The sequence below is a fragment of the Homo sapiens genome, chromosome 19 (genome assembly GCF_000001405.40).
Source record: "Homo sapiens chromosome 19, GRCh38.p14 Primary Assembly".
In the NCBI taxonomy this organism is placed as follows: Eukaryota; Metazoa; Chordata; class Mammalia; order Primates; family Hominidae; genus Homo; species Homo sapiens.
In genome coordinates this window covers 39,430,762-39,450,294 of record NC_000019.10, presented here as the reverse complement: position 1 = coordinate 39,450,294, position 19,533 = coordinate 39,430,762, and the positions used below count along the sequence as shown (strand labels likewise).

The 19,533-nt window shown below is 50.9% G+C and overlaps 2 protein-coding genes across 9 annotated transcripts in view, besides 9 other annotated features; one reads left to right on the top strand and one right to left on the bottom strand.

Moving 5' to 3' along the window:
* Positions 1-4,713, bottom strand: part of SUPT5H (SPT5 homolog, DSIF elongation factor subunit) — a 31,089-nt gene extending 26,376 nt beyond the window's left edge. For 2 of the 6 annotated variants that reach the window (NM_001111020.3, NM_001130825.2), the window contains exons 1-2: positions 4,658-4,713; positions 4,330-4,491 (exon numbers count right to left, since the gene is read on the bottom strand). In NM_001111020.3, coding sequence (NP_001104490.1) covers positions 4,330-4,404 — 75 coding nt within the window. In that variant the 5' untranslated portion in view covers positions 4,405-4,491; positions 4,658-4,713. The other 4 variants (NM_001319990.2, NM_001319991.2, NM_001130824.2 and 1 more) reach the window with 3 other exon arrangements.
* Positions 3,876-4,672: an enhancer, noted in NCBI's record as "H3K27ac hESC enhancer chr19:39936263-39937059 (GRCh37/hg19 assembly coordinates)". NCBI's record gives its function as "activates a minimal SCP1, AML or CMV promoter by ChIP-STARR-seq in naive H9 embryonic stem cells {active_cell/tissue: H9 hESC(naive)}" and the evidence as "EXISTENCE:reporter gene assay evidence [ECO:0000049][PMID:30033119]".
* Positions 4,284-4,503: an enhancer, noted in NCBI's record as "active region_14622". NCBI's record gives its function as "activates an Ori minimal core promoter by ATAC-STARR-seq in GM12878 lymphoblastoid cells {active_cell/tissue: GM12878}" and the evidence as "EXISTENCE:reporter gene assay evidence [ECO:0000049][PMID:35858748]".
* Positions 4,644-4,913: an enhancer, noted in NCBI's record as "active region_14621". NCBI's record gives its function as "activates an Ori minimal core promoter by ATAC-STARR-seq in GM12878 lymphoblastoid cells {active_cell/tissue: GM12878}" and the evidence as "EXISTENCE:reporter gene assay evidence [ECO:0000049][PMID:35858748]".
* Positions 4,644-5,470: a biological region, named in NCBI's record as "H3K27ac hESC enhancer GRCh37_chr19:39935465-39936262".
* Positions 4,673-5,470: an enhancer, noted in NCBI's record as "H3K27ac hESC enhancer chr19:39935465-39936262 (GRCh37/hg19 assembly coordinates)". NCBI's record gives its function as "activates a minimal SCP1, AML or CMV promoter by ChIP-STARR-seq in primed H9 embryonic stem cells {active_cell/tissue: H9 hESC(primed)}" and the evidence as "EXISTENCE:reporter gene assay evidence [ECO:0000049][PMID:30033119]".
* Positions 12,141-12,909: an enhancer, noted in NCBI's record as "H3K4me1 hESC enhancer chr19:39928026-39928794 (GRCh37/hg19 assembly coordinates)". NCBI's record gives its function as "activates a minimal SCP1, AML or CMV promoter by ChIP-STARR-seq in primed H9 embryonic stem cells {active_cell/tissue: H9 hESC(primed)}" and the evidence as "EXISTENCE:reporter gene assay evidence [ECO:0000049][PMID:30033119]".
* Positions 14,093-14,192: a silencer, noted in NCBI's record as "silent region_10605". NCBI's record gives its function as "represses an Ori minimal core promoter by ATAC-STARR-seq in GM12878 lymphoblastoid cells {active_cell/tissue: GM12878}" and the evidence as "EXISTENCE:reporter gene assay evidence [ECO:0000049][PMID:35858748]".
* RPS16 (ribosomal protein S16) lies at positions 14,346-17,158 on the top strand. 3 transcript variants are annotated; one of them, NM_001321111.2, is made up of 5 exons: positions 14,346-14,447; positions 14,587-14,637; positions 16,534-16,630; positions 16,726-16,773; positions 16,877-17,158. In NM_001321111.2, exons 1-5 carry the CDS (start codon positions 14,400-14,402, stop codon positions 17,020-17,022), a joined length of 390 nt encoding a protein of 129 aa, NP_001308040.1. In that variant the 5' UTR covers positions 14,346-14,399; the 3' UTR covers positions 17,023-17,158. The 3 variants fall into 3 exon arrangements, with proteins under 3 accessions (NP_001308040.1, NP_001011.1, NP_001350789.1); NM_001020.6 differs by having other exon boundaries at positions 14,587-14,688; NM_001363860.2 differs by having other exon boundaries at positions 14,587-14,688; positions 16,534-16,773.
* Positions 14,573-15,152: an enhancer, noted in NCBI's record as "NANOG-H3K27ac-H3K4me1 hESC enhancer chr19:39925783-39926362 (GRCh37/hg19 assembly coordinates)". NCBI's record gives its function as "activates a minimal SCP1, AML or CMV promoter by ChIP-STARR-seq in naive H9 embryonic stem cells {active_cell/tissue: H9 hESC(naive)}" and the evidence as "EXISTENCE:reporter gene assay evidence [ECO:0000049][PMID:30033119]".
* Positions 18,732-18,851: an enhancer, noted in NCBI's record as "active region_14620". NCBI's record gives its function as "activates an Ori minimal core promoter by ATAC-STARR-seq in GM12878 lymphoblastoid cells {active_cell/tissue: GM12878}" and the evidence as "EXISTENCE:reporter gene assay evidence [ECO:0000049][PMID:35858748]".

Below are 19,533 nucleotides of genomic sequence, written 5' to 3'. Positions count from 1 at the left end.
CCAAAAAAAAAAAACTGTGCCTCCCATTCACACTTCAACGAAAATATTCCCTCCTTAGCTAGGCATGGGGGCTCACACCTGTAATCCCAACACTTTGGGAGGCCAAGGTAGAAGGATCACTTGAGCCCAGGAGTTTGACACCAGCCTGGACAATCTGACAAAGCCCTGTCTCTACCAAAAATACAAAACTTAACCAGGCATGGTGGCAAAATCTTGTTGTCCCAGTTCATTGGGAGGCTGAAGCAGGAGGATTGCTTGATCCTCAGGAGGCTGAGGCTGCAGTGAGTCGAGATCACACCACTGCACCCCAGCATGGGTGACAAAGTGAGACCCTGTCTCAAAAAAAAAAAAAAAAGGCTTAGCGTGGTGGCTCATGCCTGTAATCCCAGCACTTTGGGAGGCCGAGGTAGGCGATCACTTGAGGTCAGGAGTTCTGAGACCACCCTGGCCAACATGGTGAAACCCCATCTCTACCAAAAATATAAAAATCAGCCAGGTGTGGTGGCGCACCGCTGTAATCCCAGCTACTCAGGAAGCTGAGAGAGGAGAACTGCTTGACCGTGAGGTGGAGGCTGCAGTGAGCTGAGATCGTGCCACTGCACTCCAGCCTGGGTGACAGAGCAAGACACCAAGACAAAAAAAAAAAACCAAACTAACCTTCCTCCTCCAGGCAGCCATCCCCGCCCCCTCTCCCCCAGGCAGAGTCAGGCACATCCTCTATGCTCACAATTCTCTGGGCTCCCTCCATCACAGCCCTGACCACTGTGAGCCTCCCAATAGTAGGGCCCAGTCCATCTCAGGCACTGCTGGGTCCCCCAACATCACCCAGCCCAAGGCCAAGCACAGAAGACTTCAGAAATATTTGCTTAACACAAATCTCGACTAGCCCACGATGAAGCACATTTTAACAACCCAAACTATGACAGGACCACAGGCTGATTTCTAGGAACCTTGTCATCAGTTCCCCTCTGACAGGTCCCAGAGATGCCTCTTTCCAAACCTGGCTCCTCCCTCCCAGTGGAGGATGCCCCCACCACTCTCTGCTCACCTCAGGGCTTGGATGTGCTCTCACCGTCCTCAACATCCCCTGCAGTAACTGTGTATCTATAAAACTGCCTCTGCCTTGAGACTGAGATCTCTGTAAGGGAGACTGTGACCCCAACATGCCAAGTCAAGGAACATTTGTTTTTTGTTTTTTGTTTTTTGAGATGCAGTCTCGCTCTGTCTCCCAGGCTGGAGTGCAATGGTGCGATCTCTGCTCACTGCAAGCTCTGTCTCCTGCGTTCACGCCATTCTCCTGCCTCAGCCTCCCAAGTAGCAGGGACTACAGGCACCCACCACCACGCTAATTTTTTGTATTTTTAGTAGAGACGGGGTTTCACCATGTTAGCCAGGATGGTCTCAATCTCCTGACCTCGTGATCCACCCACCTCAGCCTCCCAAAGTGCTGGGATCACAGGCGTGAGCCACCACACCCAGCCAGAACATTTGTTGAATGAATAAATGAACAGGTTACTGGAGCCATGATGGGTGAACCAGCAGCTCCCCTCAAAAGTAGCTCATTATTTGCCATCCCTACCTGTCTAGCCACAGAACCCTGTCCTTCAAGGACCATGTCATCATTTGGCTGTCTGAAAAGGCCATCCAATCCTGTCCCTGGCAGTGGGGACAGGCCTCACAGTGCCCTCTTGCCTCACCTGGTAACTGAAGAGGAGCCAGCGGCGGGGGTGGGGGGTCAAGTATGGTGTAGTGTTGGGGAAGTGAGACTAGTAACAGTGCAAACGAGAATGTCCCAGACAGGAAATGGAACTGGGGATCTTGGTCTCATTTCCACCTGACTTTAACCACCAAGCAGTGTCTCCAAGCCATGAATCAGAGACCAAGAATCCAGTGCTACAGCTTAGAGAAAAGGCCCTCCCTGTCACTCTCCCACCACAGCATCCCAATTTCTCCAACTCTTCACTGCAAGCCTGGAAGCCAGGCACTCTCCAAAGGTCACAATAAAGATTGGCAATCAAATGTCCACAGAGGATAAGCAGGCAACATAAGTGACTGGGACAAGTCACCCGAAACACACAGCACTCTCCATCTACCAAACGTTTTCCAGAACACAGCCACATGAAATCTTTTCCTTTTCTTCACTCTGCCACAAGGCAAGCAAGAGGACAAATGGCAACTAACATATCCTGGGAACTGGAGAAAATTCCCAGCTGTATAAGTAGGGCAGCCACTCATCAAGCAAACGGCTGCTCTGCAGAACAACTCTGTGTCCCAGGGTGCCAGCTCCTTCCATTTCCCCAGAAAAAGAAATCTTAATCTTTATGTTAAATCTCCCTCACAAGCATTGGCAACTAATTTAACAGCCAATTTAAGTTTCTGTGCATCAAACAAGGGATCTATAATCACCCTGTCATCTGTTTACTGGTTTGTGATTGCTACCTACTAAATGTCAACTCCAAAAATGCAAAGATTTCCTACCAGACACCTGAGAAGTAAGTGGAACACAGTAGTAGATGCAAACACTGATTTGTTCAACAAACAAATAAAACAAAAATAAGTTTAAAAGGTGGATAATGGGCTTGGTGCAGTGGCTCACGCCTGTAATCCCAGTACTTTGGGAGGCCAAGGAGGGTGGATCACCTGAGGTCAGGAGTTCAAGACCAGCCTGGCCAACACAGTGAAACCCCGTCTCTACTAAAAATACAGAAATTAGCCTGATGTGGTGGTGCATGCCTGTAATCCCAGCTACTCGGGAGGCTGAGGTTGCAGTGGGCTGAGATCATGCCACTGCACTCCAACCTGTGCAACCTAGTGAGATGCTGTCTCAAAAAAAAAAAAAAAAAAGATAATGGCAAATAAAAGAACATTTGAAATCAGAAATGCCCCAGGAAATGTTGGTTTTTTGGTTCCTGGAACAGAGGTACAACAGACCCAAAGCCAGAGTGATCCTTTCAAAACATTAGATCACATCTTCCACTTGCTCAAACTTTTTCGTGGTTTCATTTTACTCAGTTAAGACCAAATTCCTTACCACAGCCTTCAAGATCCTATATGACTTGGCTCTCATAAATTCTTTGTTGCACTCACTCTGATCCAACCAAAGTGGACCCCCTTTTTTTAGGGGGTGGTGGGGAGACAAAGTCTCACTCTGTCACCCAGGCTGCAGTGCAGTGGCACCATCACAGCTCACTAGACCTTCACCTTCTGGCTCAAGCAATCTTCCCACCTCAGCCTCCCAAGTAGCTGGGACTACAGAAGCGTGCCACCAAGCTCAGCTAATATTTTTATAAGACGGAGTCTTGCTCGTCGCCCAGGCTGCAGTGCAGTGGCGCGATCTCAGCTCACCACAGTCTCCACCTCCCTGGTTCAAGCGATTCTCAGCTTCAGCCTCCCGAGTAGCTGGGATTACAGGTGGGCGCCACCATGCCAAGCTAATTTTTTTGTATTTTTAGTAGAAATGGTGTTTCACCATGTTGACCAGGCTGGTCTTGAACTCCTGACCTCAGGTGATCCACTGTCTTGGCCTCCCACAGTGCTGAGATTACAGGTGTGAGCCACCAAGCCCGGCCTCAGCCAATGGTTTTTATATTTTTGTAGAGACAGGGTCCCGTTGTGTTACCGAGATTGCTCTCAAACTTCTGGGCTCAAGTGATCCTCCCAGCTTGGCCTCTCAAATCCTCGTTAATCCCTGAACACGGCGGACACACTCCCATCTCTGCACCTGCTGGTCCCCCTCACTGGAACACTACACTTCCAGCTAACCACGACTCACTCCCTCACCTCCAACAAGTTTTTGCTCAAATGTCACCCCTCAGACTCATGCTGATGACCCTATTTCAAGAGCAACCAGGACTCTCCATTCCCCTTTTCTGTTCTTTTCTCCAGAGTACCTTCCAGCTTACTATATAGTTTATTCCTTGGCTATATTTATTTACATTCCCGAAGGCAGACATTTTTAAAATCTTTTTGTTTACTGGTGTACCCTAAGAGCAAAGAATTGCGCCTGGTACATAGTAGGCACTACAAATATAGTTATGGAATGACTAGACATAACTAAAAAAAAAAACTAATGCTAAGTGCTTACTATATGCACACAGAGTAAACTTTCAAAACATCACCTGTTATCTCACTGGACCTGACCCATTTCTGGCCTCCAGAACCTGTCCCTTTGCTTGACTTCGACTTGCCTAATTCTCTATCTCTTGAGACAATCTGGGAGTTCCCAGAAGCCAGAGCCCGCTGTGAACCCCTCGAGCCTCCCACAGGGGCCTTTCTGCCCGGAGTCCTGTCCCCAGACGCAATGTCTCCCCCAGCGCCCCAGCCACAGACCTCGGCCTCCTCGCCGTCACTGCTGCGCTCGCTGTCCTCCTCCTCGGAAAAGTTGCTGTCCTCGCTGTCCGACATCTTCCGCTGCTGCTGGGAAAGACAGCAGCCTTGGCGCGTCCCACAATCCTGCGCTCCACCCCGAGCCTCAGTTTCCCCGCTGGTTCCCTGGGAGAAGAAAACCCCTTAGGGCGCTTCCGGCAGGCTCGTTTTGGCAATCGCGAAGCGGAGTGAGGACCCCCTCCTACGCCACATGCTAGACCTCCCCAGTTTCCGAATCTGTTCTCTACACCTCCCCGGCGCCCGGAACTGCCACCTCTGCACACGCACTTACCTCTCGGGCTCCACCTCCGCCTTCGGTACCAGCTGCTGTTCGCACGACGCCTGACTGGGGCTGACGGGTCCTCTCGCGAGAACCTACCCGTTGACCTCGCCTAACACGAGATTTCCGGGGCTGGCACGGGCGACGCACTTCCAGGTCGCCATCTTGAGAGAGGCAGGGCTGGCCTGGGCGGAGTGCGGGGCCGACATCTGCGGAGGGTTAGGAGGGGAAAGGTTTTTTCTACCCGCCGGCTCGGCGACCAGGCTGAAACTCATGTTTGAATTTAGTGAGCCGTTTGTTCGTTAGTCCGGAACACTAGCGCGGTAGGCCAAGCTGCGAGGAGGCGGCGAAATCAGCGAATAGCAAATTATAAAAGAAACAAGGCTTTATCTCCTAGGCCCTCTAAAGCATCCCCAGGAGATCCGTATCCCCGTTTTGGAGAGAACGCTGAAGCTCAGAAAAACTCAGTGGAAAGCGGCAGACCCAAGCCTCCTCGCCAAGTCTGAGTGACCGTGAAGCCCTGGTTTTTCCTTCTTTTTCTTTCTTTTTGTACTTTTTTTTTTTTTTTGGTAGAGTCGGGCTGTTGCCCGGCCTGGTCTCAAACTCCTCTAACTCAAACTAAAAAGCCATCCTCCGGCCTCGTCCTGCCAAAGTGCTGAGATCACAGGCATAACCTGCCGCGCCCGGCCCAAGTCCCTATTTTTCTTTCCAGGCTTCCTAAGTTCATTTAAAGGCGAATTTATCTATTAGTAATGACGGCTGACGAGTGATGGCAGAGTGGACAGGTGTAATGGAGAGATGAAAAATGAACCTTCGCCTGTAATCCCAGCGCTTTGGGAGGCTGAGGCGGGAGGATCACCTGAGGCCAGGTATTTGAGACTAGCATGGGCAACAAATTGAGACCCCATGTATCCAATTTTTGTGTTTTTTTTAATGTGGTGTGGTGGCGTGTGCCTGTGGTCCCTGCTACTCCAAAGGCTAAGGTGGGAGGATCACTTGAACCCATGTTGAGGCTTCAGTGAGCTATGATTGCACCACTGCACTCCAGACTGGGTAATAGAGACCCTGTCTCTAAAAAAAAAAAAAAAAAAAAATTAAAACTTAAATTTTTAAAAATTGAAAAATTAACCTGATAGGGGAAATTTTAAAAATCAGAAGTCTATGTCAGTCGCGGTGGCTCATGCCTGTAATCCCAACACATTGGGAGGCCGGGGCGGGCAGATTGCCTGAGGTCAGGAGTTCGAAACCAGTCTGGCCAACATGGTGAAACCCCGTCTCTACTAAAAATACAAAAAAATTAGCCGGGCGTGGTGGCATGTGCCTGTGATTCTAGCTACTCGGGAGGCTGAGGCAGGAGAATGGCGTGAACCCAGGAGGCGGAGCTTGCAGTGAGCCGAGATCGCGCCACTGCACTCCAGCCTGGGCGAGAGTGAGACTCAGTCTCAAAAAAAAAAAAAAAAAAAAGAAGCCTCAGGACACATTGGTAAAATTTCTCACATAAGTATGACACACCTGGGCCGGGCGCGGTGGCTCACGTCTGTAATCCCAGCACTTTGGGAGGCCGAGGCGGGTGGATCACGAGGTCAGGAGACCGAGACCATCCTGGCTAACACGGTGAAACCCCATCTCTACTAAAAATACAAAAAAAAATTAGCTGGGCGTGGTGGCGGGCGCCTGTAGTCCCAGCTACACGTAAGGCTGAGGCAGGAGAATGGCGTGAACCCGGGAGGCCGAGCTTGCAGTGAGCCGAGATCGTGCTACTGCACTCCAGCCTGGGCAACAGAGCTAGACTCCATCTCAAAAAAAGAAAGGATTCTCCACCGGGCGCGGTGGCTCACGCCTGTAATCCCAGCACTTTGGGAGGCCAAGGCAGGCGGATCACCTGAGGTCAGGAGTTCAAGACCAGCCTGGCCAACATGGTAAAACCCTGTCTCTACTAAAAAATACAAAAATTAGCCAGGTGGCGTAGTGGCGCACACCCGTAATCCCAGCTACTCGGGAGGCTGTGGCAGGAGAATCTCTTGAACTTGAGAGGTGGAGGTTGCTGTGACAAAAGAGCAAGACTCCGTCTCAAAAAAAAAAACAACAAGAAAATAGGATTCTACATATTAAATCGCTACAGACACTGCTGCAGAAAGCCATTCCCTGCAGAAAAAAGAGGGCACAGTCATTTCCCCAGCCATGGAAGTTTCTTCCTTGGTGGATCCGTGGTTCTGAACTCAACTCTGGTAGCACATCAGAATACTTGAGAATATTTTAGAAAGAAAGAGTTGCATAATAGCCCTAAACTGGAAACACAAAAATTAGGGCCGGGCGCAGTGACTCACGCCTGTAATCCCAGCACTTTGGAAGGCCAAGGCAGGCGGATCACGAAGTCAGGAGTTCAAGACCAGCCTGGCCAATATGGTGAAACCCCATCTCTACTAAAAATACAAAAAAAAAAAAAAAAAAAATAGCCAGGTGTGGTGGCGCACGCCTGTAATCCCAGCTACTTGGGAGGCTGAGGCAGGAGAATCACTTGAACCAGGGAGGTGAAGGTTGCAGTGAGCAGAGATCGCACCACTGCACTCCAGCCTGGGCAACAGAGTGAGACTCGTCTCAAAAGAAAAACAAATTTTGGTACATCCATCCATGCAACAGAATAGTAACAACTACCAATACACCCATGACTGAATCTCCAAAACATTATGCTGAGTGAAAGAAGCCAGACATCAGGAGATGTCCAGCATGATTCCATTCATATGAAACTCCAGAGCAAGCAAAACCAACCTATACAGACAATGCAGATTAGTGGATGTCTGGGGCTGGAGAGGGAGGTGGAAATTGACTGGGAAGAGAGAGAAGGAATGCTTTGGGGTGATGGAAATGTGGCCATCCAGTCCACCAGCCGGTGCACTCCAGCCTGGGTGACAAAGGGAGACTCTGTCTCAAAAAAAAAAAAAAAATGTCAGGTGTGGTGGCTCATGCCTATAATCCCAGCACTTTGGGAGGCCAAGGGGGGAGTATCGCTTGAGCCAGGAGTTCAAGATTAGCCTGGGCAATAAAGGGTAACCCCATCTCTACAAAAAATACAAAAATTAGCTGAGTGTGGTGGCATGCGCCTATAGCGCTAGCTACTTGGGGGACTGAGGTGGGAGAGTCACTTGAGCCTGAAAGATCGAGCCTGCAATGAGTTTTGATCATGCCACTGCACTCCAGCCTGGGTGACAGAGTGAGACCCTGTCTCAAAAAAATATATGGGCAGATGCCAAGTTACAGCCTGTGCAGCATAGTGAAACCCTGTCTCTAAATAATAATAAAAATAATATAGATGCTCAGGCTTCACCAGAGACCAATTATCAAATTATCTGGGCTGGGGTCTGGCCATCAGTATTACTTGAAAGTTCTCCAAGTGGTGGGCTGGGCACGGTGGCTCACGCCTGTAATCCCAGCAGTTTGGGAGGCTGAGGTGGGCAGATCACAAGGTCAGGCGTTCGAGACCAGCGTGACCAACATTGTGAAACCCCATCTCTACTAAAAATACAAAAATTAGTCAGGTGTAGTGGCGCGTGCCTGTAATCCCAGTTACTCAGGAGGCTGAGGCAGGAGAATTACTTGAACCCAGGAGGTGGAGGTTGCAGCGAGCTGAGACCATGCCACTGCACTCTAGCCTGGGCAACAGAGTGAGACTCTGCCTCAAAAACAGAAAAGAAAAGAAAAGAAAGTTCTTCAAGTGGTAATTTTTTGTAGCCAGGGATGTAGGGATGTGAACCACAGGACCCTCCCTGTTCTCAAGGTATAGGGATGAGGTTAGAGAATACCTGTGCACTTCTCTGTCCCTTCCTGGAAGAAGAGAGAAGAGTATCTAAAGGAGGGTGAGAATGGGGGCAGGTGGGGCAATTTATCCAACTCCCTGCCCAAGAGGTCAGAGACTTCAGATCGCACCTTACTTTCCTCCTTCTTAACTCTTCCCCTTGGCTACTAGGGCTCCAGGTGGGGTCCTCTGGCCTAGAGGGAAGAAAAGGCTTAGGGTTTGGCAGTTGGAGCTGAAGACTATTCCCTCCCTCTCTCTACCCAGCCTCTCTGGGTGTACCTGGGAGCCCATGTCCTCCAAAGCTCAGGCTGTGGTAGGGTGCCAAGCACAAGCTCCCTGTAGTAACTCCAAGAGGGGGACAGGTCTCTGGGGATGTCCTTCACAGGACAGGCAAGGGCCCTGGCTGGCCACCCACAGCCGGGACCCCAGGAGATCCAGCAGGTACTGTAGCTGGAACACAGCAGTTCCCATAGATGGTCCCTCCTCAAACCCAATCACAGACAGCTCCAACCTGGAGCAGCCTAGAGTCTCAGCAGGACACACAGTAGGGACAAAGTGACCTGGTATCTATGGGTAAGGGCATGAGTCCAAGTCCCCACTCCCAAGATTTCTTATCTGTGTCCTGGAACAAACCCCTTCAGTTCTCTGGGCCTCAGTTTCCTCATCTGTAAATAGGGCTCTGGATAATCCCAACCGTAAGGCCTGACACTATCCCATGCTGTACTTATGTGCAAGCTAGAAAAAGACACTCAGCTGGGCACAGTGGCTCATGCCTGTAATCCCAGCTCTTTGAGAGGCCAAGGCAGGAAGATCACTTGAGCCCAGGTGTCCAAAACCAGCCTGGGCAACACAGCGACACCCCATATCTACAAAAAAAAAAAAAAAAAAAAAAAGGTCGGGCACGGTGGCTCACGCCTGTAATCCCAGCACTTTGGGAGGTTGAGGCAGGTGGATCACGAGGTCAAGAGATCGAGAACATCCTGGCCAACATGGTGAAACCCTGTCTCTACTAAAAATACAAAAATTAGCTGGGCATGGTGGCACATGCCTGTAGTCCCAGCTACTCGGGAGGCTGAGGCAGAAGAATTGCTTCAACCCAGGACGCAGAGGTTGCAGTGAGCAGAGATCACGCCACTGCACTCCAGCTGGCAACAGAGCAACACTGTGTCTCAAAAAAAAAAAAAAAAAATTAGCCATTAGCTATTTGTGGTGTCACGTGTATGTGGTCCCAGCTACTCTGGAGGCTGAGGTGGGAGGATTGCTTGAGCCTAAAAGGTCAAGACTGCAGTGAGCTGTGATTGTGCCACTGCACTCCAGCGTAGGGGACAGAGCAAGACCCTGTCTCAAAAAAAAGAAAATAAAAAGACCTTCCTTAAGTTCCTTCTACCTTCTAAGTCTTGATTTTATTAGAACAAGATACTTTACTGCCATCTGCCGCAAGTTGGCAAATATGCAAATCTACAATATCCAGCCTGTGAATATAGTACTGTCTTTGTAGATGTGGGATCCTTGTGCAGTGTACAACATTCACATCCATACATGGTGGTCCTATCTATCTTATAGGATTGGTGTACAGAGTAAATAAGCTAACATACTTAAAGCATTTAAACCAATACCTGGCACAGAGTAAACACTATTTACATGCAGCTGTAGTCATCATCATCATTTGTTATTATATACCTCCCTATTCTAGGTGTTGGAGACAGCAGTGAGCAAAATATATCTGTCAAGGCTAGGGGCTGGGTCAGGAGATAGTCCCACTACTTCCTCCCCGCAACATATTCATATGGTCACACAGCAGCCCTCACACATGGAGACCACTGAATTCTCTCAAAACCTGCAACTGCAGAAAGAAGCGAATGCAATACTCACTGAGAGATCATCTGGGGTGTAGAGGGTGTCATCATTTTTGTTTTCCTACAGTTCAGGGGTAAGGAGGAGAATCAGATCTTGGAGGGAAAGAGGCTGACCCTTCCTCAAACACACCCCCTACCACGCCCCATCAATTGGCCCACCCCGTCTGCTGGCTCTGCTCCCCACTCGCTGGTATCTTCAGAGGGCTGCAAGGAAGTAAAAAGGCTCCCTCCAGCAGAGGGGCGGGCGTTCCTAGGCCCTCCCAGGGCTGTACAAGCAGGAGGATGATCCACAGAAGCAACATGGGCACCTTGCTCACTCCCAGGCCTTCTCTGGTGCTTGGCCTGGGGTTCTGGAAGAGAGAGGTACAGGAAGGGGGAGCAGACTGGAAGGCTGAAGTGGATGAGGGGAACTCCCCCGCCACCCCTCATCCCATCCCCTGCTTGCTCCACTCAAGCCACAGATAATTCAGGGAGTGTGCCCATAGAGGCTGGGGAAAGATGGTGACCCCAAAGTCAGGAGGGCTTAGGTCAGAGCGCTCCCTGACTCCCAAGCTCAGGGACGATACGAGACTTAGCAAATGTGTGAAGATCAATCTGGAGAGACGAGAGAACCTGAACTCCCCTGCCCAACAGGCCCTTAAGACAGTGCAGGCTAGGCCAACCGCTGTGGCTCACACCTGTAATCCCAGAACCTTGGGAGGCCGAGGTGGGCGGATCACTTGAGGTAAGGAGTTCAAGACCAGCCTGGCCAACACGATGGAACCCTGTCTCTACTAAAAAATACAAAAATTAGTGGCCAGGCACAGTGGCTCACACTTGTAATCCCAGCACTTTGGGAGGCCGAGGCAAGTGGATCACTTGAGGTCAGGAGTTCAAGACTAGTCTGCCCAGCATAGTGAAACCCTGTCTCTACTAATAAATACAAAAATTAGCTGGGCATGGTGGTGCATGCCTTTAATCCCAGCTACTTGGAAGGCTGATGCAGGAGAATTGCTTGAACCCAGGAAGCTGACGTTGCAGTGAGCTGAGATCAAGCCACTGCCCTCCAGTCTGGGCGACAGAGCGATACTCCATCTCAAAAAAAAAAAAGAAAAATTATTAGTCAAGCATAGTGGTGGAGGCCCGTGATCTGGGCTACTCAGGAGTCTGAAGCAGGAGAATCTGTAATCTCAGCTACTCCAGAGTCTGAAGCAGGACAATCACTTGAACCGGGGAGGTGGAGGTTGCAGTGAGCTCAGATTGCATCACTGCATTCCAGCCTGGGTGACACAGACTCTATCTCAATTTAAAAAAAAAAAAAGAAAAAGTACAGGTAGAATGTGTGCATCCTCTCATCTGCCTGTGTCTTCATTGGAAAACACCTGTGCTAGCCTTTATCTGTGTCTGCAAGTGAATATTTGAGGTCTCTGCTCTATTTATTTTATTTTATTTATTTATTTTTGAGACAGAGTTTATTTATTTATTTATTTTTGAGACAGAGTCTTGCTCTGGCGCCCAGCCTAGGGTGCAGTGGCGACATCTCAGCTCACTGCAACCTCCGCCTCCCGGGTTCAAGCGGTTCTCCTGCCTCAGCCTCCCTTGTGGCTGGGATACAGGCACCTGCCACCATGCCCAGCTGATTTTTGTATTTTTAGTAAAGGCGGGGTTTCACCATGTTGGCCAGGCTGGTCTTGAACCCTGGGCTCGAGTGATCCTGCTGCCTTGGCCTCCCAAAGTGCTGGGATTATAGGTGTGAGCCACTGCACCTGGCCTCTGTCTCAAGTATTTTGGAAACATCATGCCTGCCTTTATCTCTTTTTTGTCTGAGGGTTGGCCTCTCTGCCTCTAAATCTGTCACTGGGCTTGTTTTGGGGGTCCATCTCTTGACTGTCCTGGTCTCTCCCTTTTCTCCTCCTCTTCTCCCTTGGCCTTTCATCTTTCTCTTCTTCTCCACTTGTGCCTACATTTCTTTGGGCTGTGTCTGTGTCCCTCCCGGTCAGCCTCTGGGTACTTCCTTCCTCCCTCCCAACAGCCCCCTCCCCCCTCACCCTTTTAGAGCTGGACTCCGGGCTGGCTTTTCCCTCTGGCCCCAGACCTGCCCTCCAGTGTCTCCCTGTCTCCACCCTCTTTGGCAAGGTGCACCACGACGCCCTTTTGAACCCTGGATCCCAGACCCTGTACTGCCAGAGAAACTGAGGCAACTGTGGGCTCCCTCTAGCTCTGAGAGAGGAACCTCTTCGCTGGGGAGACTCTTGATGGGGTGAGACGCAGGGACATCTGCCGGGGAACCAGAGGACAACCCAATCCTGGGGTTCCTCAGGTGGGGTTGGGGGGCTGGGGATGGAGAATTCTGTGGGGAGGAGGCTTAAGTGGAGGGTGATTTGGGGGAGAGGAAAAAGATGACTGGGAGATTCTGGAGAAAGAGATTCTAGGGGCTGGGCGCGGTGGCTCACGCCTGTAATCCCAGCACTTTGGGAGGCTGAGATGAGTGGATCATTTGATGTCAGGAGTTCGAGACCAGTCTGGCCAATATGGTGAAACCCCGTCTCTACTACAAATACAAAAATTAGCCGGGCGTGGTGGTGCATGCCTGTAATCTCAGCTACTCAAGAGGCTGAGGCAGGAGAATCGCTTTAACCGGGGAGGCAGAGGTTGCAGTGAGCAGAGATCATGCCACTGCACTCCAGCCTGGGCGACAGAGCAGGACTCTGTCTCAAAAAAAAGAAAAAAAAAAAACAAAAAACAGAGAGATTCGGCCGGGCGTGGTGGCTCACGCCTGTAATCCCAGGACTCTGGGAGGCTGAGGCGGATCACATCACCTGAGGTCAGGAGTTCGAGACCAGCCTGGCCAACGTGGTGAAACCCCATTTCTACTAAAAATACAAAAAACGACCAGGGCGTGGTGGTAGACGCCTGTAATTCCAGCTACTCGGGAGCCTAAGGCAGGAGAATCTCTTGAACCCGGGAGGCGGAGGTTGCAGTGAGACGAGATCGCACCACTGCACTCTAGCCAGGGCAACGAGCGAAACTCCGTCTCAAAAAAAAGAGAGAGATTCTAGGGTGGGGACGGGGAAGAGGTTAATTCTTGGGGGAGGGTCTCTTAGGAGAGGGGGATTCTAACGGAGGGAAAACTCCAGGGAAGGCAGTTGCTGGGAAGAGGAGTCTCGGAAGGGAAATAAACTCAGGAGAAAGGTAGATTTTGAGGGACGGGTCTCTGAGAGAAAAGTTTTTGTGGATTTGCGGGGCGGGGTGTTCTGGGAAAGGGGGATTTGCCGGGAAAGGGGGATTTGCCGGGAAAGGGAGATTCTGGAGGAGGGAGATTCCAGGGGTACTGGGTCCTGACAAGAGAAAGATTCTGGGAAGGGTGACTGAGGGGACGAGGACCGAATGGAGGGAGATTCAGGGAAAAGGGGGGTCTAAGTTGAGCACTCTTAAGAGGGACATTTGGGGTTGGCCATCTGAGAGAAGGATGGGAAACATTCTGGGAAGAGGAAACTGAAAGGAAGGACATTCTGGTGAAAGGGAGATTCTGAGGGGAAGGGGCTCTGAGGGGAAAAGGATTCTGGGAGAGGATCCCCAAGGAGGGGGATTCTAGGGAGGATAGGATTCTGGAAGTCCTTAATCTGAGAATCCAGCCAGATTTCTTGCAGTAGATTCCAAAGGAAGATTCTGATGCGGGGGATTCGGGGAGGAGGGAGTCCAGAGGGGAGAAAGATTACAGGTGTTGGGAGGGTGGGAACTGATTTAAAGAAAGGGCGAAGGGAGATTATTAAAGAGCCAGAATGCAAAGAAGAGCTGCGGTAGTCGACTACAGAGGACGCGAAGCACACTCCCGCAGCCTTCCCTTCAGTCCGCACACGACACTCCCAGGCCCCGCCCCTTCCGCCCACAGAGCCCGCCACTTCCGCCTCACAGGGCCCGCCCGCTCTGAGCGCCTAAGGGCCTTCCCGCCGCTGACCAGACGCCCCGCCCGTTAGCCGCAACAGAAGCCGTAAAGCTCTCTCCCGTCGCGACGCAGTGCTCAAGGCGCCTGCGCAGACCCTGAAAAGCGGCCAGGGTGGCCCCTAGCTTTCCTTTTCCGGTTGCGGCGCCGCGCGGTGAGGTTGTCTAGTCCACGCTCGGAGCCATGCCGTCCAAGGGCCCGCTGCAGTCTGTGCAGGTCTTCGGACGCAAGGTGAGCCAGACGCCGGATGGGAAGGGGAGGGGAAGGAGAAGGCCAGGGTCTGGGAGAGGTCGGTGGGCAGGAATCTAGGGGGTAACATGGGAGCTGGAGCCGGAGCTCACGGGGCCCCTGTTTCTCTTGTATCTTACAGAAGACAGCGACAGCTGTGGCGCACTGCAAACGCGGCAATGGTCTCATCAAGGTGAACGGGCGGCCCCTGGAGATGATTGAGCCGCGCACGCTACAGTACAAGGTGCTGGGATCCGGCACCGGCGTTGAGTGGATGGAGGACTCTTGGAGACAGAGATGTTGTAGCTCTTGAAAGCTGGGGGGGCTGGCATCAGCAACGGGATGTTTAGAAGTTGTGTTGGGTGTAGAACAGTGGGGTATTTGGCAATAGAGCTGGGCTTGGGGTTCAGAAGATGTAAAAGCTGAGATGGGGTTGTTGAAGATTAAGGGTTTGCTTTGAGAACTGGGATGTTAGGAAGCTCACCTCACTGGGGCGGGGGGACCCAAAGGGTGAAGGGACACCGACTATTTTTTATTTTATTTATTTGTTTTGAGAGGGAGTCTCGCTGTGTCGCCCAGGCTGGAGTGTAGTGGCGCGATCTCGGATCACTGCAACCTTCGCCTCCCGGGTTAAAGCGATTCTCCTGCCTCAGCCTCTTGAGTAGCTGAGATTACAGGCATGCACCACCACGCCCGGCTAATTTTTGTATTTTTAGTAGAGACGGGGTTTCGCCATATTGGCCAGAGTGGTCTCGAACTCATTACCTCAGGTGATCCACCAGCCTCGGCCTCCCGAAGTGCTGGGATTGCAGGCGTCAGCCACCGTGTGCGGCCGAATTTGGGTCTGTTTAAATGCTTGCTTGTAAAAGGGGTTCCTCTGTTCCCTTTTTGGGACTCTCAATTTCTTTGGCTCAGAATGGAAAGAAACCAGAGTCTGATTTCTGCCCCTTCTGAACTCTACTACTTTTAAAAGAAAGAATATCTACATTGCAGGGTCAGTTAAAAAAATTTTTTTTGAGTTATAAGGTTCTTTTTTAAAAACAGTATCTTGCTGTCACCTACCCTGGAGTGCAATAGCACAATCCTAATGAACTGCAGCCTTAAACTCCTGAGTTGGAGATCCTCCCACCTCAGCCTTTCGGTTGCCAAGACTACAGGCACATCACCACGCCTGGCTCATTTGAGAAATATTTTTCTGTAGACGTGGGGTCTCACTTTATTGCCCAGGCTGGTCCTTGGTCTCATGTGATCCTTCTGCCTGGACTGGGATTACAGGTGTGATCACCATGCCTGGCCTAGAATTTAATAAAAATTCTGAGATTTCCTTTGTGTAGCAGATGTTGAATGTTACTGTTATTGGCTGTCACTGTATTTGAAGGATTTGTATGTGTACCCTCTGTTGAGTTTTGGGGACATAGCAGTGATCCAGATGACTTAAGGTCTTGCCTTCATGGACCTGCCAGCCTAGTTGGGGAGAAGGACTGGGCCCAATACCAGAAGCTGATCCAAAGTGGTCAGAACTGGGGAAGGAGACCTGTGAGCTGAAAGCAGGTAAAGGAAGTATCCAGACAGAGGCACTGGTAAAAGACCTGGAGCTGGGAAGGGTCTAGGGACCAGGGACAGGTTGTACTGTAATTCTGGAAACCTGTGAGGCTCAAAGAAAGGGCAGAGAGCTCAGGTGGGAAATAGAAAAGGCACCTGAACAGTCCAGGGATGGCTTTCGACTACTTGAAACAGCCTTGGGAGTTTCAGAAGCTATTGGAATGCTCCTTACTGTTCAGCCTTCTAAGAACCAGTCTTAGAGGTAGGGTGTCTGAGGTCCAGTGAGGGACACAAGTAGGAGGGAGCCCAGATCTTGTTCCCTTTACCTTGCCTATATTTCTTAACACCACTTCAGCAGTCTCATATCTGGCTTTTTTGACTTTCCTCTTCTCTGGGTCTGTAGAGGGCCTTGGAGTGACACCCTGACCCCCATCCACTAGTACTTGAAGGCCAGTGGTGGCAGAAGCCACAGAAACAAGAAGCCCAGTGAGATGGCTAAGCTGCCCAGCATGTAACTTAAATCCCTGTTCATTCCCCATTCCTTTAGCTGCTGGAGCCAGTTCTGCTTCTCGGCAAGGAGCGATTTGCTGGTGTAGACATCCGTGTCCGTGTAAAGGGTGGTGGTCACGTGGCCCAGATTTATGGTGAGTCCCAGGAACTGGGCGCATGGAGGAGGTGGCTCTGGGAGGGAGGCCTTCACAGCGCTCCTGTACCCTTTAATTGTGTGTCTTTCTCACAGCTATCCGTCAGTCCATCTCCAAAGCCCTGGTGGCCTATTACCAGAAATGTGAGTGAGCATGGGTCCTTCCCATGAGGTAGATGGGTGTGTGGGGATCAAGTCAAGGACTCTGTGTGATTATCTAAATCCTCGTCCCTGCTCTTCTTGCCAGATGTGGATGAGGCTTCCAAGAAGGAGATCAAAGACATCCTCATCCAGTATGACCGGACCCTGCTGGTAGCTGACCCTCGTCGCTGCGAGTCCAAAAAGTTTGGAGGCCCTGGTGCCCGCGCTCGCTACCAGAAATCCTACCGATAAGCCCATCGTGACTCAAAACTCACTTGTATAATAAACAGTTTTTGAGGGATTTTAAAGTTTCAAGAACTGTGTGTGGCCTTATGTGTTGGTATTGGATGTTTAACCAGACAGAAATCAGTAAACATCCTGGACCTATTGCCAGTCTGGATTTTGACCCTCCCCAGAAGTGGTCGCGCTGGGCTTGGTGTGGGTGAGTGGAAGCAGAAGGCAGGGGGTCTCTGTCTCTACACCTCCAGTAGAGTCCAGTGTGCAGGCAAAGCTGAGATGGCAGTCGTTTGGGGCCATTAGTGGCTGCAGACCTTGGCGGATATATGGCTCATCCTTGTGGATGTCTATTTTTTTCAAGCCCAGCCTCCCAAATAGCTTGGATTACAGGTACCCACCACCACGCCATGCTAATTTTGTATTTTTAGTATCGATGGGTTTCACTGTGTTGGTCAGGCTGGTCTCAAACTCCTGACCTCAAGTGATCCGCCTTCCCGGGCCTCCCAAAGTGCTGGGATTACAGGCGAGAGCCACCACCCCCAGCTGAATTTTTGTTTTTGTAGAGACAGGTCTCACTATGTTGCCCAGGCGTGGTCTCCTGACCTCAGGCAATCCTCCTGCCTCATCTTCCCAATGTGTCCAGGTTACAGGTGTGAGCTACCATGCCTAGCCAATAATCTTTAATACAAAGAAAACAAGGAGAGTCGGGCACGGTGGCTCACGACTGTAATCCCATCACTCTGAGAGGCCAAGGCTGGTGGATTACAAGGTCAGGAGTTAAAGATCAGCCTGGCCAAGATGGTGAAACCTCATCTCTATTAAAAGTACAAAAATTAGGTATGGTGGCAGGCGCCTGTAATCCAGCTACTTGGGAGGCTGAAGGAAAGAATTGCTTGAACAGGCGCCTGCCACACCCAGCTAATTTTTTTTTTTTTAAGTAGAGACAGGGTTTCAACATGTTGGCAAGGTTGGTCTTGAAATCCTGACCTCAAGTGATCACCCGACTCTGCCTCCTAAAGCGCTGGGATTATAGGCGTGAGCCACTGCACCCAGCCTAATTTTTGTATTTTTAGTAGAGATGGGGTTTCACCATGTTGGCAAGGCTGGTCTTGAACTCCTAACCTCAAGTGATCCTCCTGCCACAGCCTCCCAAAGTGCTGGGATTACAGGCATGAGCCACCATGCCGAGCCCAAAGTGGCATTTTGGACAGGTAACCGGGCTGTGGAAGACCCCAGGTTCTTTTTTTTTCTTTTTCTTTTTTTTGAGACAGAGTTTTGCTCTTGTATCCCTGGCTGGAGTGCAATGGCGTGATCTCGGCTCACCGCAACCTCCGCCTCCCGGGTTCAAGCAATTCTCCTGTCTCAGCCTCCCGAGTAGCTGGGATTACAGGCGCCTGCCACCTTGCCCAGCTAATTGTTCTATTTTTAGTAGAGACGGTTTCACCACGTTGGCCAGGCTGGTCTGGAACTCCTGACCTCAGGTAATCTACCCGCCATGGCCTCCCAAAGTGCTGGGATTACAAGTGTGAGCCGCCACACCTGCCCCCCCCCCCCCGCCTTTTTTTTTTTTGGAGACGGAGTCTTGCTCTGTCACCCAGGCTGGAGTGTAGCTGCACAATCTCAGCTCACTGCAACCTCCGCCTTCCGGGTTCAAGCAATTCTGCCTCAGCCTCCTGAGTAGCTGGGACTACAGGCAAGTGCCACCACACCTGACTGATTTTTGTATTTTTAGTAGAGACGTGGGTTTCACTATGTTATCCAGGCTGATCTTGAACTCCTGACCTCAGGTAGATCCCCCTGCCTTGGCCTCTCGAAGTGCTGGGATTAACAGGCGTGAGCCACCGCGCCCGACCTAGAGCCCAGGTTCTTGACTACTAGTTTAGGTTGTCACAGATCTGCTCAAGAGGCCCCATCTCTACCCTGTGGCCCCTCAACATGAGGAGCTAAGGAGTCAGGGTGGCCGCTTGTGGGAAAAGCACAAGAGGCTGTGGGACTCAAGCGGTGCCTGACAGCCTGGAGGAGTCAGGTGGACTCCTTGGGGGAGAGGACATGGGAACCAGGGTCTGCTGGCCGGTAGGAAGAGTAGCCAGGGAGACCATGTCTGTGATGAGTTGTTTTCGGGTGTCTGTGGCCTCAACTTGCTCATTCACTTTCCTTGAACACCTGTGCCGGGCCATGTGCTCGTCATGGGGCACTGAGTGACCACAGCCCTCTTCCCCCTCCCAAGGAGTCACAAATGACGCAAGGGTTGCTGCCGGTGCTGGAAGAGGAGTTGGGCTTCAAAGCACAGTGCATCCTCAGCGTTTTGTATAGGTGCTTGGAAACGGACTTAAGCAAAACAAGCAGATCCTGTAATAACAGTCCTTTAAACAAACTGGTTTCCTTATACGTCGTTTCGCTTAAGGTCACGGTTTCCCAGAACCTATTGATGACGTTAAGTGAGGACTTCGTTGAGTGGCTAATGACTCATAGGAAGCGAGTGAACTTCATTGTTTGGGGAGCGCAGAGATTTCTACTTCCTAGTTC

Excerpts from the sequence above, each read along its gene's own strand:
- RPS16 (NM_001363860.2), top strand. The coding sequence starts at position 14,400 with ATGCCGTCCAAGGGCCCGCTGCAGTCTGTGCAGGTCTTCGGACGCAAG. Across the intron at positions 14,689-16,533 it reads CGCGCACGCTACAGTACAAG|CTGCTGGAGCCAGTTCTGCT; the intron begins GTGCTGGGATCC and ends CCATTCCTTTAG. Across the intron at positions 16,774-16,876 it reads GGTGGCCTATTACCAGAAAT|ATGTGGATGAGGCTTCCAAG; the intron begins GTGAGTGAGCAT and ends TCTTCTTGCCAG.